The sequence below is a fragment of the Homo sapiens genome, chromosome 2 (assembly GCF_000001405.40).
Source record: "Homo sapiens chromosome 2, GRCh38.p14 Primary Assembly".
NCBI lineage: Eukaryota > Metazoa > Chordata > Mammalia > Primates > Hominidae > Homo > Homo sapiens.
In genome coordinates this window covers 198034186-198048481 of record NC_000002.12, presented here as the reverse complement: position 1 = coordinate 198048481, position 14296 = coordinate 198034186, and the positions used below count along the sequence as shown (strand labels likewise).

The 14296-nt window shown below is 37.3% G+C and overlaps 1 protein-coding gene across 3 annotated transcripts in view, besides 1 other annotated feature; it reads right to left on the bottom strand.

Moving 5' to 3' along the window:
- Positions 1-14296, bottom strand: part of PLCL1 (phospholipase C like 1 (inactive)) — a 345271-nt gene that overhangs the window by 101382 nt on the left and 229593 nt on the right. The window lies entirely within an intron of this gene.
- Positions 6239-6328: a silencer, noted in NCBI's record as "silent region_12218". NCBI's record gives its function as "represses an Ori minimal core promoter by ATAC-STARR-seq in GM12878 lymphoblastoid cells {active_cell/tissue: GM12878}" and the evidence as "EXISTENCE:reporter gene assay evidence [ECO:0000049][PMID:35858748]".

Here is a 14296-nt window from a genome sequence, read left to right as displayed (position 1 = left end):
CAGAACTGTGAGCCAGGTCAATCCTCTTTTCCTTATAAATTACCCAGTCTCAGGCATTTTTTACAGCAACATAAAATGGACTAATACAGTGCCCTTATAAAAGGGTCTAAGAGAGCTTGTTTGCCCCTTTGGGCCATGTGAGAACACATAAAAGGTATCATTGATGAGAAACAGGCCCTTACCAGACACCAAACCTGCTGGTGCCTTGATCTTGAACTTCCCATCATCTAGAACTGTAAAGCAATAAATTTCTGTGTTGACTATAATTTACCCAGCCTAACGTATTTTATTATAGTACCCCAACAGGACTGGGAAACTCATTCAAATCCCAGAGTCACCAACTTGCTTCTTTATAAAGGCAGCTTCATACTTTACTCAGAACAGAAACTGAGAGAAAATCCAATATTCTCCATAAAGCTTTTCCCAGTTAGTCCAGGCCACCACATTGACCTCTTTTTTTATTTTTATTTTTTGACTCTATGAAATTTTGTGGTTGGCAATGTGTAACAAAATGGTTCTACTACAGAAGGTTCTTAATCTGCCACCACTCGCATGGAAGAGTTATGCAAGGAGCGTACCTACTTCTGATTTTAACCTCCCTGCCCTCTGATAGTTATTTCAATATAGAGCAGAAACACTCCACTCTTTAAAGCTGGGATCTGCTTTATTATTATGCAAGACACTCAAGATACAAAACCAAATGTAAATGATACAAGTTACCAATGTATCATCTTGTGTTATTTATGTTCACATATAAGTTCACACCAATTTATAATTGCTTCTAGTGCCCCTTCCAAGATCACCCTTTTCCCCAATATATGTTCAACTGTGTGCCATGTTATTTATTCCAGCTTCATTTAGTCCCTGAAGACAGATTTTCAACATGTTTTAATCCTAAGCCTCCCTACCTAGGTCCTATTAAAATTGTGTTCTTCAGAAACAGTTGTGGTGGCATCCCTATATACTGATCATAGAACTACCTGAAATTACTGCATCTTTTGGCTGGGCGTGGTGGCTCATGCCTATATTCCTAGCACTTTGAAAGGCCAAGGTGGGCGGGTCACAAGATCAAGAGATTGAGATCATCCCAGCCAACGTGATGAAACCCCATCTCTAATAAAAATATAAAAGCTAGCTGGGCCTGGTGGCGTGCACCTGTAGTCCCAGCTACTTGGGAGGCTGAGGCGGGAGATTCACTTGAACCTAGGTGGCAGAGGTTGCAGTGAGCCGAGATCGTGCCACTGAACTCCAGCCTGGCGACAGTGTGAGACTCCCTCTCAAAACAAAACACACACACACACACACACACACACACATACACACACATGCATCTCTCCTGGTTCATACTCAAGCAAGCCTAGTACATCATCCTTTCTGACCCCACAATTTCTAGAAAAGCTCTAGATTCCTTTAGAACCCTGGCTAACCTAGATACAACCATATAACTATATGGCACTAAGTTGATGTTCCCATTTCTAGACGAAAACATCAAAACATATCCTACTACATTAGTATGCTAACATTGCAATTTTGAGAACTTTAGAACTCTGACTCTGACCACATTAAAGTGACTTTCAATTCACATATATTTATGATACAGAATATATGAAGGTTTTGGTTTTTTGTTTTGATTTTGTTTTTTAAAGAAAAGGTCTCACTCTGTTGCCCAGGCTGGAGTGCAGGGGCTCAATCACAGCTCACTGCTGCCTTGACTTTCCAAGCTCAGATGATTCTCTCACCTCAGCCTCCCAAGTAGCTGGGGCTACAGGCACACACCACCATACCGGGCTAATTTTTTGTACTTTTTGTAGAGACAGGATTTTACCACGTTGCCCAGGCTGGTCTCGAGCTCCTGAGCTCAAGTGATCCACCTGCCTGGGCCTCCCAAACTGCTGGGATTACAGGTATGAGCCACTGAGCCTGAAAAGGGTTTTTTGATACTATCATACAATTTAGCCCTCGATTATAAAGTGATATATCTTTCTCTGTTTTACTTATTTATGTCTTATCTGAAAAATTTTTCAAAGCAGAAATCACCCGTCTTCTGCGTCGCTCACGCTGGGAGCTGTAGACTGGAGCTGTTCCTATTCGGCCAGGTTTCTTTCTCCTTTAGCATCTTGGTAATTTGATTCCATATTGACATGTTAAACAATAGTATACCATCAGGTTTAAGAAATACAGTACTATAAGGGAAAAGTTTAACTAAACTTAGTTGAAATTTTTTTTCAGTAAAGAGCTAGATACTAATATTTTAGGCTTCGCAGTCTAGATAGCTCCTCTTGCAATTACTTAATTTTGCCACTGTAGCATGAAAGCAGCTATAAACAATACATAAACAAATGATTATGTCTGTGTTCCAGTAAAACTTTATTTACAAAAACAGATGGCAAACTGGACTAGGCCTGCAGGCTATAGTTTGCCAACCTCAAACTTAAACTATGAAAACATCAAAAGGGACAAATACTACCACCCCCCACCAGTCACCCTTTTTATTCAAACTCAACAAGCAGTTTTTGATTGCTCGTTACATTGAAATGAAAAGTGGTAGGATATATGCAATGAAGATCTCTGTCAAATAAAATGGTACATGTGTACCCTGTTAGGGCTCACTTCCAACATCCCTGAGGATTTTATTTCAAAAATAATCACAGCTAAACCTAAAGAGGCAATTGTATGCTATTATTGACAATTTTCAGCCATTTTTGCTTTTCATCTGAGTCCAAATAAATCAATTTCTAAGTAAATGTCTACTCATTAAAAATTAACATATGAATCTGGCAGAGCCATTGATTTCCGGCAGTTGAAATTCATTACTCTAGAATGCATATCCATGAATGTCTTCCTCCTTTCCTCCCATTCCTGGTTACCTCTCAAGTGCTTATATTAAATATAAATTAATGCAAAACAATTATTTCTTTTCATGTCAATTTGGAAATTCTATAAAACAAGATGAACTGACTCATCAAATATTTCCACAGTTAAGATAATAGTGAAAATGCCCTATGTAATAAAATGAGGACAACCTATCTAAATTACAAAGTCTAACTTTCCATCTAAAATAATGCAATATGTTTCATATTATCTACATTCCTATGATTCATAACCCTCATAAAAGTACAATATTAAATGAAACTGAATAAACACTGGGAGATTAAAGCAAATCTGTCTTGAATAATCAGTTGACTCTAATGGACATGTGAGTTCCATTAGGAAACATAATACAAAAAACTATATACAAATGTTAAGAGAAAAATAACTTGACAACAAAAGGACTTATCACCCCAAATTAATTTCTATGTTTTGGGATATAAATAAATGATTCTAATCAAGGTATAAAACTAAAATGTTCTACGCTTAGAGTTAATCCTGAAAAGAATACGGTATAAATCATAATAAAGCTAAAACATTGTTTATCTTCTACAGAATAGTGACATGGGAGACTTTACTCATTGCAACCACATTTTTCTCAGTAAAAAGTTACTGGATGTCACAGATTAGTCAGCCTTTCTATTTCCCACAGAAATAAGCTATCTGCTAATTCCTATGTTATATGCTACCTACTTCTAACACCTTTGCTTGCTGACCTTACAGAGTTTTCAGAAAATGAAACCAGAATTAAAAGTCAATTGACCTATTGAGGTAGGAAACAAAGGTTGTTTAATATGATTCAGTTTAAAAAATAAAGTGCCCCTCCCCTCACCCAAAAATAGGTGAAGAGTGACTATCTCCAGGAAGTTGAGATTAAGAGCAATTTTTATTTTCTTTCTATTTTTCTCCATTTTTCAAAATTTCTACATGATAATGACTCACTTTTAAAAATCAGAAGAAAACAACAGTTTAAAGTCTTACTAAATTAATCATAATTTGCAATGATTATTTGAAACCCCTATGGTTTTGGTTTATGTGTAGTTTTTACATAATAAAATTAGTACTATAACATATACATTAAAATTTGTCCCAACCTACAGAAATTGTTCCTCTCTAAGTTAATACAAACTTGAGCTTCGCAGGATTCCTCCTGAGTTGAGAGCAAAGTTCTTTATATAGTTCAAGTACAGTGTGGAAGTAACACCAGTTAGGAAACCATGCAACACACCATCTGCCATATAATTAAAGTAGCATGCTTTTTTAAGGACATTTAAAAAATTGTGCTCCATGGAAATCACTAGGAGAAGCCACTGTGAATGGATGGCAGGTTTCAGTAACACTGTAGAAACCCAAGGTTGAGTTCAGCAAGAGGGTAGTTGAATGTGTGGAAGGGGAATATATTGCCAGAATTGGAACATGGATGGCTTTTTATTTCGTATTTAAGAAGTCTCACCAAAGTGAGATAAAACTCAGTACATTTGTACCTTATTTATACTTGGCCTCAATTTTATTTATAAGTAAATAATGCACTAGAATATACTGAAAATATGTTGTGTAATTTTGCAAGGGTGGTAGACTTAGTAAAAGATAGTTTTAAAAAGAGTGAAAACTGGGAGGAAAGAACTTTGTGGAAAGGACCAACACTTAAGTGGAAAGAAAGGTACAAATACACAGAGAAAGTAAAAGAAATGTGTGACAAATTAGCCTCTCATTTAAAAAAAAAAAAAAAAAAGAACAAGAATTAAATCTCTACTTGTAACAAGCTGCTGTGTCCAGGTACTCAGAAGCAATTTTTGGATCTCACCATTTCAAGCTCTGTCTGAGATTTGGACTTACTCTGCTCAAGCCACCATCCCCTTCTCTGCCACCTCCCCCAACCAAACCTGTTCTCTGGACAATCTGCACTTGGACTTTAACCTCTTCCTGAGAACACTAGATTTCTCCTCCCTCTCCAGGAGCATTGTTCTAGATTCTCTCACCTTCACAACTCCCTATGAACCTCCACCTGATTCTGGGTCTCCTCTTCAGCTTCTGGTTCTCCGCTATGGTCCTGCCTGAGAAAGACACAAAATTACGCAGCCTTGCCCTTGACAATCCTTGCCACGTTGATGGCAAGGCTGCATGATTTTGTAACTGCATGAAGTGGCTAGCTCCCCTTTCACTTCTCCCTACCACTAGACCAGCTCCTAACACAGGACTTCACCTACCCAGTAGAGACAGCTGTTTACAAGTATATTTGCTTCCACTCATTAGATTCCAGAGCCTCCTTGTCATCCCTGCCTCCAATTTCAGAGGAATATCTGAACTGTCCTGAAACTAAAGTCTTTCTCCAACATTACACATTTCTTTAACTTTCTCTGTGTGTTTATACCTTTCTTTCCATTTAAATGTTGGGCCTTTCCATGAAATTCTTTCCTCCCAGTTTTCACTGTTTTTAAAACCATCTTTTACTAGGTCTACCACCCTTGCAAGAATCAGCCTTTCTCAATTCCCAGCTCCTTCAATGAATGATCTGTCACTACCACTTTCATCTTGGACTCCCTTCCCTTCCCACTTAACTGCTCAGATCTGGGCAGCCAATATATCCTCTCTTGGAAATCATTGGTGTCCTATTTTTACCAGATTCACTTTTTGTCAGATTTACCAAATTCTCTCCTCATTCCTCACCTTTCTTGATCTCTCTAGATCATTGGATACTGATGATGACATATTCATCCCTGTACCAACCCCGTATTATCTCCTTTCTCTGTCTGTTTATGCAAATGACCTCTTTTCTTCCTCTCAAATAACTGGTGGCATCATTTATTGCTTTTCTGTTTCTCCATGCCCAAGGTCATAGGCATTGTATAGATTCGCCTCAAATCAAATGTTGTATTTCTGACTATGCACGTAATATTTCCACTTGGATGTTCCATCATCATAATCTCAAACTCAACATACCTTAAGACAGAACTCGTCTTTACCATTATCTGCCTATCCCCAAAGCTGTAATGCAGGCCCACTTATCTTCCTGATTAGAAACTTTGAGGTTATCTGGCTTCTTCTATCCTTCACTGAATCTGCACTGAATACTTTTGCTTCTTCTCTGAGATGTCTGCCTTCCTTCCTATTCCCCTGGCCACAAGTCTTGCCCAGAACTTCTTCACTTAAGACCCATATTGCTAAAACCACCACCTCAATTCTCATCACCTTCCGGTTCAGCTGGTGTGCTATTGCAGATTAACCTTTCTAAAATAATGTTAAAACATTGCAAACAACTAAAACCATAATTTATACTGTTTTACATAAACAGAGGTTGGTTTCTCTCACATAACAGGAAGTCCAGAGGTAGACAGCTGTTGGTGTGGGTTTAGCAGTTCAGCAGTATCAGAAACAATAACTCTTTGCCTTTTCCTCATAACAGCAAGGTTGCTGTATATTTACAGACCTTGCATCTTCATTCAAGGCAAGGAGGAGAGGAAAAGGAGGTGCCAACATTTTATCAAAGAACAAAAACATTTCCAGAAATGCCATCAGCAGACTTCAGCTTGAAGCCAGAACACGATCACAGAGCTGCCCTAGCTCCAAAGGAGACTGGAAAGGCGGAGGATAGAATCATCATGAATGGGTTAGACCAATCATGATTCATCACTTGCAGATAGGCACAAAATTGAGGTTCACTTATCAAGGAAGGGGGGATACCCAACTTTATTTTTTTGTTTCTCTTGCATACCGATTTTTGTCACCTGGTCTCCTCTTATTGTCCAAAACACATGCCATGCTCAACTCCATCATCAACCTTGTTACCTTTGCTCTCTTCACCTAGAATATTCTCTCCTCCACTTACCAGTCCTATTTATGTTTCATGGCTATGTTCGTATCCGACCTATTCAATGACACATTCTAGTCCACAATGATTTCTTCCTTGAATGAACACTTCATTCATTAATTTATCCATATTCAGTATTTACTTCCAGGAGATTCCTATCATGAGTACTACACAGTTGAACATTTAATTGTTCTTTGTTTCCTCTGATTTGGTTTTATTTCTCCACAAACACTGTAACCTACATGAAGACTTGAACCATGCCTCAGATTTCATTTGTATGCCTCAGTTCCTTACACAGTGCTGAAAACATGACATGTGCTTAGTAAATTACTGACTGAAAAATTCTATAATTACCTAGAAATAACAATATGTGGATTACTGAGTGTAAAACAAACAAACAAAAAAAACACTGTGGTTGGAACTTAGAAAACAGAACATTGTCTACTTATTTCGGTCAAAATATACTCTGTGAGACAAGAAAATAACAACGATTATATTTGTACTTCAGTGGCAAAGGTAGCAAAATATAATCCACTTCTGAGAAAGCTAAAAAGAGCAGCAGAGCTAAGTAAAATTCAAGATTGTAAAACAGAGAAGCAGTTTTCAGACATTTCAAACCGAAGGGTTAGTCTCCCAAGCCATTCCTGCAATGTTAGGCAGAAAACAGTCAAGTGATTTATTTTAGAGAGATGCTGATCTATATGAGGATTAAGAGATCTCAGGCTAACACTGCTGGCAGCCACAGAGCAGCTTTGGGAGTGTACTAAGAAGATTTCAAACTGGGAGCAACTTATGCAAAAGACACAATTCCCCCAACCCCCCATTGGCCAGGGCTTTAAACAGTCCTTGTGATTCGCTTGTTGCCCTTTCTTTGGCCTATTTACTGAGTAGACACAATCAGTCCCTCTCTATTCACATAGTCCTTTGGTTCACATATTTGGGTAAATGTATTGTTTCATCTATCAGTTTCTACATGAAACTCTAGCAGAAGACCAATTGAAGGCACACTTCAATCCATGAATCTCAGGCATTTCTTCTTAGCCAACCTAAAATGTATGGGACCATGTTTTCTCCAATTAGAAAATGTGCAACTTCACCACTCAGCTCACAGAGCCTGTAGAATGGAAAGCTTTGTAGTGTGTTCCTCATTCCTCCTGGGGCCAAATGAAGAGAACCTTTCAGAAGCTGGAAGAAGAAAGCAATTCCCAGGGAAGCTCATAAGCCTCCTCAGATCCTCCTCTAGAACGGAAATTCCACCCACCAAGGAGAAGCAGTTTGGACCCACTGCACCATTGCTGACAGCTGGGTTCCTCTCTGCCTCTCCTCCCCTATCTCCACCAGGAGAAAGAAGACCCAATGATAGGTCTTGGGGAAAAGCTTTTCAAAAAGCATCTTTTTTCTATCTTCCTTTCTCTCAACACCACATGACAGTCATGATAGTCCTAGGATGGCTGCAACCTCAAAAAAAGCAAAACCTGCAAATAACCCCTGTGAGACCTCTGTCCTGACTGTCCAAAACATGAAGCCCAAGAGCCAGTTTTTCAAATGCACTAATGTCCACGGGATGAAAATCTTGTCCTGTTTGCCTATATTTTCCCTTACCCTCCTCAACTCCTCGTCTATGCTGAGAATATCAGCATGCTCTATGATTTCCATAACAAAGTAAGATTCAGAAAAAGAAGTATAACTAGAAGAAATATTGTTGCAACCATTCTACTTTTGGATTTGGTATCAAGTCGTATTTAAGACATAATTTATTGCCCTACTTCGGACAAAATGTCCAAATCTGATCTATTCCCTCTCCCTAACTCCAATCTCAATGTCACTCCCATATTTTTCATGTAGGTTAAGACATATGTTTGCCCCATTCTAGCAAATAACATGTTCTCCATTTCAATTATCTTTTCATATGGTACCATACATTTTCTAGAACATAGCAGCTGAAAAAGGAATATTGACCAATCTTGCAGAGAACTATCTCATCTAGCTTAACATCTCTAGTTCTCAGCAGCTACCTGACTCATAGATGTTCAGTGAGCCAGTCAATGAGTGATGTGTTTGCACACTTAAATGGCTACTCTTCCTAATGTAATAAAAGCTCTGACAAATTTTCTGAAAGTGCTATATTGTGACCCTCTAAATTGATCTAAGGAAACAAAAATAATCAGTTAACTATAACAAGAATGATCAGAAACCTGAGAATCTCCAAGAAGGAGGCTCAAGAAGTGTTCAACTCCAATAAAACAAAAATAGAAGTCCTTTCTCCTTCATGGGACTTACAAAATAAAAAACACAGTATACACATGGGTATACCAAGAGACAGGAAAATATTTCATTATTACAGTAACAAACAAATCCTAAGAAGTAATTATGCATCAGTTCTACAGGGTGATTTGGTAGAAAATTATGTGGATAACTACAGGAATAAGATTTCAACATAACATCAAGAAGGCTCCTAAAACGTCTACAGGTATCAAAAATGTATAATCCATGCTGCTTGGCATAAGCTATGGGCAGATAGATCACTAGAGTTTAGAATAATGTTTTCCATGTTGAATCTAGAAAAACTATATTGCAGGTCCCAAAACAACCATGCCAACTACTCTTCTTGAGAATGAGAAACTATGTCACTTTGACTATGAACCCTGTTCAATACCAGCTCCTTCCTTAGTCTGCTACATCCTGACATGTTTACCCTCCACAAAAATGTATAAAGAACCTGTCAAAATGAAGCAGACAGGGTTTGTTTTTAAGCAGTCATTCAATTACCACCCTAATGTAAGGGCTTTTAGTATTTCAAAAAAGCAATATTGCACGGGGTGGAAATACCTTTTCATATTCAAATACCAGCTTAATGTGTAGTTTAACAAATTACTATCTTACAGCTCTGTTTCTGGTATTTGTGAAAAAACACGAGATAAAAAATTGAGTGAACTCTTTTTTTCTTTTTTTTTTTTTTTTGACCTTTAATGAAAGGATCAAGACAGTATTTTCCCTTTTTGTTCTGTTTGTATATAACAAAAGCATTTCTTTGCTTAACTGCTTTTATAAACTACAGACCTCTGTACAAACACAGTCTTAATTAAACCTGAGAAGTGATTGTTGTATTCTACATTTCAAAAGGAAAAACTGGTCTGCAATAGAATAACTGTTTTGTTTATGCAGCACATACAAGTACAGATGCTAAAAATTCTTAAATAACAACATAACCTTAACCTTGAATTATAGGCTGCCATGGGACCAAGCCTAAGAGAACATAGATAGAAATCAAATATTATTTATTACACAATATTTTAAGAACTTTTACTACAAAATAACACTGAAAAAATACACTAGTAGTAAACTTTGTTCCCAGCCATGAACTATGTATATATATATGGACCACTCCCAGGGAGAAATTAGATTTTTAACTCTAATTTTCTTTAACAAGGTATTAAGCAATCCCACAGACTTACAATAAAGTTGAAAAAACACAAAAGCAGTGTGTCAAGAATGCCAAAGGGTTCTGAAGACAACTGAGCCTGGCTTGAGGAAATATGGGCAAAATCTATGTGGAATATTTTAAAACATGCCACAAGGGGTATGTGTGTGTGTGTGTACACACTTTGCTTTGTGAAGTCTTCTCTTTAATTCTCTCTCTCTCTAGAACAAAAGCCCTTTTCTGACTCTTACAAGGTTTATGCTTAGTCACTTAATCAAAAAATTCAGTAAAAGCAGAAAATAATAAAAATTGGCATACATATACCTCACATGTTTTATTTAAATGTAAGGCTTTTGAGTATGGCTCCACTAATTCAAGTTCTCTGCTTGAACTCTTTCTTGAAAAATGATACATTTCAGTTTCTTGAAAATGCATCAATAACTTAAAAGATACTTACAAAGTAAGTTGTATTAGAAATTCTTTTTTATATTTTTCCCAAATCTTTCATAGTTGTCTTACCCTCACCTTATTTAATAACACTTTCAGCAATTCTTTTCTAGAGTCTTTCCAAAACTTTCAGTTTATTTTTCAAAGAAACAATAACTCTTTATATTTACACTCAAAAGTCACGGGATTATGTAATATTTAATTAAGTTATGTAACTGTAATTACAAGTACAAATAGAATAAAACCGTTTTGGAAAAAATCTCAATTGACTCTTTGTAAGCACAGAACTCAACTTGATAGAGAGTATTTAAGATAGGTGCCTATTATCCTCGAATTTTATAAAGAGAATGCTGAGTGTCAGTTAAGTGGATGTTGAAGGAAGCTTCTCCTATAATCTCTAAAGCAATGTTTTCTAAAGCCTTTCCCAGGAATAACTAATTTCAAGAGTGCGATGGAAAAAAGGACTTGGGGTCAACTAAGTTTGGGAAATGCAAGGTCGAACAAAACTAAGCAGCTTTCCTTTATTGCAGGACATTAACCTCTAAATAGCTAACATGCATTTTTAATTTCCAAGATGGCACTATAGTATGTAATGTTCTCCCAGTGTATTTCATCAAGACTGTACATTTATCCAGTATTTTATCAGAAAGGCAATACTCCAGAAGCAATCACTATAAGTACTTCTATTATCCTGATTTTTATTAACACCTAAGACTTTAATAATCAGTATAATGTATGCTAGCAATGGATTTTAATTGGTAAAACTAGTGGCTTATTAATATGAAGAATTTAGAAATGGACTCTCTCGAGTAAAATTAAAGACAATCAAGAGTATGTGGAGTAGCAAAAATATTTTAGAGATATTCTCCACTCTAGTGTAATGGAGGATAAGGATCCAGAGAGCCTCTCCCCCAGAGACAAACCTGAGGTTTTTTCCTAAATGGCCCAGTGTCCACCTGTTGATTTAAGAAGATTTGGCATTGCCCACTGGATTGATAAGGGTAACAGGATCCAGCCTCTGGGATGTTGCCCTGTCTGCCTTGGAAGAACCTTTATGCAAGGTAGCAGAACTGGGACTTCCTAACAAGTTGTATAACGAGCTGTAAAAAAATGTTTTTTACTTTGCTTGCTGTTAAGTATTTATGTAATCAATGGTCTCTGTGTGTAGCAGAATTTTGTCTGGCTTGCTTTCATTATGGACTAGTAGCAAAGTTTTGTGTAGTGCCTAACACTGACTCAGCTCAAACCTCTTTTGATGTATGAACCATGGAGGAAAAAACCACTAAGGGCTATGAATGACCAAATCAGCTTAGGTCAATTCTCAACACCTGTCTTCAAGGCAGAAGATGAAATTATATGTCCATCCATTCTATGATATAGAAGGAACCCCAAAAGTCTCATTTGCCCCCAATAGACTCTCATTTATCTGCTTCCCAAGCAGATAGTTCCCTCTAACTTATCCAGATTTTATCAATAGCATGTTTGAAAATGCACTTATGTTAGCTGGCAATGAAAAATGATTCTAGCAAACTTCTCTAGCATCTCAACTTAATTCAAACTAATAGAAAATTAGCTAAGTGTTTCCTTGGAATGTGTGAAGAATCTAAACAGAGATGAGGTAAGATATTACTTCAGTAGTGGAAAAGCAGCATATTTTGTGGTCTTAGATATTCACACACATGGTACAATGGGAAGGGGAAGCCCAGCTTAAGAACAGATTTGACCAAGGCAATTGTGTGCTAAAAGCTGTGCACTGAATGGATAGGGAGGAGTCAGAAAGAACAAATCTATGTTATTAAAAAAGAGAATTCATTGATGATTCTTGCCTCAAACAACCATTACTATGGTAGTTAACAAATGATGATTTTCAATCAATCATACTACATACATTTTTTATTTTTGAGACAGAGTCTGGCTCTGTTGCCCAGGCTGGAGTACAGTGGCACAATCTTGGCTCACTGCAACCTCTACCTACTGGGTTCAAGGGATTCTCCTTGCCTCTGCCTCCTGAGTAGCTGGGACTACAGGTGCACACCCCATGCCCGGCTAATTTTTTTGTATTTTTAGTAGAGATGGGGTTTCGCCATGTTGGCCAGGCTGGTCTCAAACTCCTGACCTCAGGTGATCTGCCCGCCTTGGCCTCCCAAAGTGCTGGGATTACAGGCGTGAGCCACCGCATCCAGCCATACCACACACATTTATTTGTTGGAATTCTATTGTAATGAATAACTAACTTTCCATTTTACATAGTTGCTCATCTATTTGTTCTTATCAGTATGGACTCATGGATTCTTATTCCATCTGTTACTACCATTTATTTTTATGGTCACATTGTCCTGTATTTGGCTAGTAGGAGCCCCTTGGAGCTGGCTCGTGTGTCCTTTTGACATGTCCCCATCATTCTTTGCTCACTCTCTTACTTTCAAATGGAAAAAAACCAAAAACAAACAAACAAACAAAAACAAAAAACAACACCTGTTCCAGGCTTATCTTGTTCTTTTCCTGCCCCAGCAAGGAAGAAGACTTGGTTGATTTTTGTTGGTGAATAGTATTTAGAAACCAAGATAATGGTACTACTTATGCTAATTGCTACTGAATTATCATTGCTTCTTTATCCTGTCAGAGGATACAGCTAGGCAATTAGATTGATCTACATAGCTATAAAAACCACGAATTCATACAGTTATTGCTAATCTTAATCCAACAGCACATGGGTTCACTCTAGCATTCTACCTTTTCATATCTATAATTCCTTTCTTCTTCAACAATGAGAAAACTGACCGTCATTAACACTAATAGATATATTTATTTTCATAGTCTTGGTGTGTCTCCCACAAGATAGTTATTAATTACAGGGGACAAAGAGTAATTTTACAGTGCAGAAATATGGCAGATACCACATTAATTAAGTGAACACAAGTAAGGGCAGAAATAGATACCATGACGAGACATGAAAAAGGACACAACATTCTTTCAGTGGTGTTCTTGCCAAAAACATATAATCTGAATCTAATCATTAAACAACATCAGATTAACCCAAAATAACTGGCCTGTACACTTCAAAAATGTCAAGGTCATGAAAAACAACGAAATACCGAAGAACTGATCTAAGTTAAAAGAGACTTTAAAAATGACAGCACAACACAACATGTGATCCTGGATTGATTTCCTAGACCACAAAAATTGGTTTTTGCCCTTTGTTAGAGATGACATTGATGAGACAATCAGCAGAATCTGAATGAAGTCTATTAATGTTAATTTTTAGGTTTTGATAATTGTATTGTGGTAATAATACAAGAGAATGTCCTTGTTTTTCAAAATGCACACTGAGGTATAAGGGGACAGGAAGTCTGTAACTTACTTGCAAACATTAAAAACAAAAACTTTTTTTATGGCTGCATAGTATTTCATGGTGTATATGTGCCACATTTCCTTCATCCAGTCTATCATTGTTGGACATTTGGGTTGGTTCCAGGTCTTTGTTATTGTGAATAGTGCCGCAGTAAACATACGTGTGCAAGTGTCTTTATAGCAGCATGATTTATAATCCTTTGGGTATATACCCAGTAATGGGATGGCTGGGTCAAATGGTATTTCTAGTTCTAGATCCCTGAGTTCATGTCCTTTGTAGGGACATAGATGAAGTTGGAAACCATCATTCTCAGCAAACTATCGCAAAGACAAAAAACCAAACATCGCATGTTCTCACTCATAGGTGGGAACTGAACAATGAGAACACTTGGACACAGGAA